This window comes from Homo sapiens, chromosome 1 (genome assembly GCF_000001405.40).
Source record: "Homo sapiens chromosome 1, GRCh38.p14 Primary Assembly".
NCBI classification, from domain to species: Eukaryota; Metazoa; Chordata; class Mammalia; order Primates; family Hominidae; genus Homo; species Homo sapiens.
In genome coordinates this window covers 231,282,844-231,288,417 of record NC_000001.11, presented here as the reverse complement: position 1 = coordinate 231,288,417, position 5,574 = coordinate 231,282,844, and the positions used below count along the sequence as shown (strand labels likewise).

At 44.4% G+C, this 5,574-nt stretch overlaps 1 annotated feature.

The window, feature by feature from the left end:
• Positions 3,518-4,019: an enhancer, noted in NCBI's record as "NANOG-H3K4me1 hESC enhancer chr1:231420145-231420646 (GRCh37/hg19 assembly coordinates)". NCBI's record gives its function as "activates a minimal SCP1, AML or CMV promoter by ChIP-STARR-seq in primed H9 embryonic stem cells {active_cell/tissue: H9 hESC(primed)}" and the evidence as "EXISTENCE:reporter gene assay evidence [ECO:0000049][PMID:30033119]".

The window sequence follows — 5,574 nt, the reverse complement described above, 5'->3', positions numbered from 1 at the left end:
GGTGTTCATGAGGCATCACCAGACACATGTCTATAGGATCTGGCAGCGCCTCATATGGTTCCAAAGTTGGTCCTAGAGGTAATGAGCCTACCTGCTTGTGAATATGATGCAAACCTCTTTGCATTCCTCCAGTATCATGTTCCTGTATAAATTATTTCCATTTTATTACAAAGTCAGCTCTTCTGGGCAGTAGCTTCCTCATTAGTATTTCTCTGACATCACCCAAGACATCATGGGTATGTCAGATCTTCAGAATATTTAATATCTTTCAGTCCTACGAGCACTTTCAATTAATGCCCCCAAAATAGCGACCCAATAATTGTCTCCGAAATGACACATACCATACCGTCCCATCTGGAAATTTTCTGGGCCAAAATTCAAGTGCTCACCATTAGGCAGCACTTGTGGTTTTTTACCATAGACTCTAGTCTGTGGAAATGCAATTTCAGATACAGGTGTCCCTGGGTATCTGTGGGGAATTAGTTCTAGGACCCCTCCCTAAGGGGATACTAAAATCTCAAGGGGCTGAAGTATCTTTTTTAAAATGACATAGTATTTGCATATAACCCATGCACATCCTTCCCTATATTTTAAATCATCACTAGATTACTTACAATAACTAACACAGAGCAAACGCTATGGAAATAGTTGTTCTATTATTATTATTATTTTTGGAGACGGAGTCTTGCTATGTCGCTGCAACTTCCATCTCCTGCGTTCAAGAGATTCTCTCCTGCTTCAGTCTCCCAAGTAGCTGGGACTACAGGAGCCCACCATCACGCCCAGCTAAATTTTTGTATTTTAGTAGAGATGGGGTTTCACTGTGTTGCCCAGGCTGGTCTTGAACTCCTGAGCTCAGGTAATCTGCCCGCATTGGCCTCCCACAGTGCTAGGATTACAGGCATGAGCAACTGCGCTCAGCCTGTTCTATTATTTTTTAAATTTGTATTATTTTTATTGTTGTTTTTAAAACCTTTTCCAATCCTGGCTTGTTTTTCAGTTTCTGATGTGATTGTGGCATTAGCAATGTAGCGTATTGACACAGTAGTAAAGTGGTGAATTCAAATAACCATGTGGCAATACAATGTAGTAAGCTGGGATCCTTCCCACATAAAGGCAAACTGTGTTTGATTCTTTTCTAAGATTGTGATAAAGAAAAAAACATCTTCCAGACATCGTATTTTTTTGCACTATTGAAACCATATCAGGAACTGCTGGTGCTGTAGGCAGGACTACTTTATTTTTATTTATTTATTTATTTATTTATTTTTTATTTTTTTGAGATGGAGTTTCAATCTGTCGCCCAGGTGCAGTGGCGCGATCTCAGCTCACTGCAACATTCGCCTCACGGGTTCAAGTGATTCTCCTGCCTCAGCCTCCCGAGTAGCTGGAACTACAGGTGCATGCCACCACACCCAGGTAATTTTGTATTTTTAATAGCAGTGAGGTTTCACCATGATGGCCAGGCTGGTCTGGATCTCCTGACCTCAGGTGATTGCCCGCCTCAGCCTCCCAAAATGCTGGGATTACAGGCGTGCGCCGCCGCACCTGGCCAATACTACTTTATTCAAGCCTGGAAAATCTACTGCAATCTTGATGAGCCACTTCCCTTTTTCATGGGCCACACATGGGACATTTGTACAGAACATTTGTTAGTACCAGCACTCCAACTTCTAACATGTCAGCAGTTAAAGTGGTAATCTCTTTTTGTCTACCAGGATTCATCTGACACTGTGTCAAATTAACAAGCTATGCGGGCTCAGGCAATTCTATAGGTTCCCATTTAATATGCCCAATTAATGATTGCAGAAGGGCAAACTTACATACCTTTGATTTTATAATACTAGGAATGGGAAGTGCTCCCAGTCAGACATGATTCCATCTAATAATACACTTAGGTAGAGGATACACAAGCACTTCACAGGAAGTCCGTTCTAATGTTCCAATTTTCATGCAAACTTTCACCTTCATCTCATCAATCTCTATATCCCCAGATGCTCCCTAGCAAACTGTCACCCAATTAGGACTTCACCAACAGGTTTTGATAACATAATGCACTGGGATCCTGTGGAAAGGACTCTCAGAAGTTTTTCTCCACCCTATTTCCATTATCCTCACATATATGCACAAGCCCCAGATCTCTGTTGAGGATCAGGCCAAGGGACCCTGATCCCTGCACCAGTCTTTGTCCTGATTCATGTGCCTGATCACTAGCCCCAGTGATTCGAGGTCAGATTTCTCATTTTTATCTTTGCCTTCAGTCTTTCAAATTCTTGCAAACTCTGGTAAATAGGGTGGATCTGTTTAGGGGCTTCAAAGTTGGGAGACTAGCAGGGGCACTTGTGAGTCCACTGAGCCTCCCATCGTGCTGCGATAAGATCTTTCTTTTGATTCGTCAATATTCAGCTTTTCCATCCCACTTCTTTTTTTTTTGTTTTTTTTTTTTTTGTTTTTGAGATGGAGTCTCGCTCTGTCACCCAGGCTGGAGTGCAGTGGTGCGATCTCGGCTCACTGCAACCTCCACCTCCCGGGTTCAAGCGATTCTCTTGCTTCAGCCTCCTGAGTAGCTGGGACTACAGGCATGCGCCACCACGCCTGGCTAATTTTTGTATTTTTAGTAGAGATGGGGCTTCACCGTGTTGGTCAGGCTGGTCTTGAACTCCTGACCTCAAGTGATCTGCCCGCCTCGGCCTTCCAAAGTGCTGGGATTACAGGCGTGAGCCACCGTGCCCGGTCCATCCCAGTTTTTTTTTTTTTTTTTCTGTGTGTGTCTTGCTCTGTCACCCAGGCTGGAGTGCAATGATGTGATCTTGGCTCACTGCAACCTCCACCTCCCAGGTTTAAGCCATTCTCTCACCTCAGCCTCCTGAGTAGCTGGGATTACAGGTGCCTGCCACCACACCCGACTAATTTTTGTATTTTTCGTAGAGACAGGGTTTCACCATGTTAGCCAGGCTGGTCACGAACTCCTGACCTCGGGTGATCCACCCGCCTCGGCCTCCCAAAGTGTGCTTTGGCCCCCAAAGGTGATCCACCACACCCAGCCCCCAGTTCTTAATATTTGAAAATTTCCACCCTGCAGGGACAAGTCCCTTGACTATTTCCTTTGACTTTGGCCATTCTTTTGTAAATGGGCATCATTTTCTTGACATCTGTAAGACCCATGAGGGGAAGCTGAGATAACAAAGCTGATATGATTTCTTGAACTGTGCTTGATTTTGCAGCAGTAAGTTTCCATGGGATTCCTGTGCAAAAGTTGCTCACGTAATCACACTGAGGCAGGAGATCAGCAGGACTTGTTTTCTGAGCACTGGTCACAACCCAGCTGATTGAAGCAGGATCTAGTCAAAAAGGATGCAGTAAAGAAACTGGCCGGCTGGGCGCGGTGGCTCACACCTGTAATCCCAGCACTTTGGGAGGCCAAGGCGGGCGGATCACGAGGTAAGGAGATAGAGACCATCCTGGCTAACACAGTGAAACCCCGTCTCCACCAAAAATACAAAAAATTAGCCGGGCGTGGTGGCAGGCGCCTGTAGTCCTAGCTACTCGGGAGGCTGAGGCAGGAGAATGGTGTGAACCTGGGAGGTGGAGCTTGCTGTGAGCCGAGATCGCGCCACTGCACTCCAGCCTGGACGACAGAGCGAGAAAAAAAAAAAAAGAAACTGGCCAAAACCATCTAAAACCAAGATAGCAACAAAAGCAACCTCTAGTTGCCCTCACTGCTCATTGTATGCTAATTGAATGTATTTGCATGCGAAAAGGCACTCCCACCAGCAAATGTTTACATTAGTTTACAAATGTCCCAGCCACCATGCCCTGGGAAGTTACTTTATATGATTTAAAAGGGGAGGAGCTCTCAGTCCCAGGAACTCCCAACCTCTTTTGTAGAAAATTCATGAATAACCTGCCCCTTATTTAGCTTATAAATAAGGAGTAGCTATGAACACAGCTAGCCAGCAATACCTGAGTGCTGCTCTGCCAAGCTGAGATCGTGCCATTGCACTCCAGCCTGGGTGATGAGAGTGAAACTCCGTCTCAAAAAAAAAAAAAAAGAAACTGATAAATCATTTTACCTATGAGAGTTCCCCATGGATATCAAAAGTTGAACAAGGCCCTGCACCATGGCTCATGCCTGTAATCCCAGCACTTTGGGAAGCCTAGGCGGGCAGATTGCTTAAGCCTATAAGTCCAAGACCAGCCTGAGCAACATGGCAAAATCTTGTCTGTACAAAAAAATACAAAACATTAGCTGGGCGTGGTGGCGCACTCCTGTAGTACCCGCTGCTTGGGAGGATGAGGTGGGAGGATCACCTGAGCCTGGGGAGGTCGAGGCTGCAGTGAGCTGTGATTGTGCCACTGCACTCCAGCTTGGGTGACAGAGTGAGACCCTATATCAAAAAATAAATAAATAAATAAATAAATAAATAAATAAATAAATGAGAAAGCTGAACAAATTGCTTTGTCTCTGCTGTCAAATTGAAGCAGTCAGAAAACTCATTTCCATTTAACACAGCAGAATTAGGATTGCACGTTCTAAGAAAAGTTTAATTTTACGCATTAGCTATTTGTTTCCTTTTTGTTCTCAGGATTTAAATGGCCCAGTTTCCAAATAAAGCATAGGTTTCAAGTCTTAAGAATCTACATGGAAACAGCAAAGGATTTACTGGATCCCAAATCCATTTGCTTTCCCCTGAGATAATTATATTCTTTCCTCCAAGCTTCCTGCTGTTTCATGGTCAATAGCTTCTAATAGGTTTCTCCCATTTCCCAACTCCCAGGAGCTGTTCTCTATCTGGTTTTGTTCCAGACAATGCAAAAGGTGCTAGTTCAAACTTCCTAAAACTCCCATGCAAGCGAGGTGTGGTCTCAAGGGTATAACTCTTTGTAGATCTGGCCAGGTGTGGTGGCTCATGCCTGTAACCCCAGCACTTTGGGAGGCCAAGGTGGGCAGATCAGGTCAGGAGTTCGAGACCAGCCTGGCCAACGTGGTGAAACCTTATCTCTACAAAAAACAAACAAACAACAACAAAACACCAGCCAGGCATAGTGGCACACATCTGTGGTCCCAGCTACTTGGGAGGGTGAGGTGGGAGAATTGCTTGAACCTGGGAGGTGGAGGTTGCAGTGAACTGAGATCACGCACTGCACTCCAGCCTGAGCAATGGAGTAGGACTCTGTCTGGAAAAAATAAATAAATAAAAATTAAAATTAAAAAATTTAAAAAAAGGCTCTTTGTAGATCAGTATAAACAGGCACTCAGGGGCCCTAGTGGCCTTCCAGCTGGTCCCAACAATTCTGGTGCAGTCTGCCATGTTACATGCAGATGAAAATTTTTCCCAAGAGGGCAAACTGATTTTTCAGAAGACTACCTACTAAAAAAATCACAATGAAAGTAAAAAAAAGAAAAAAAAATTAGAAGGGCCATTTTTTGACAAAGAGGTACTACATGTGCTTTATTATTTTATTTTATTTTTTTAAAGACAAGGTCTTGCTCTGTTGCCTAGGTTGGAGTGCAGAGGTGTGATCATAGCTCACTGCAGCCTCCAGCTCCTAGGCCTGAGTGATCCTTCTGCC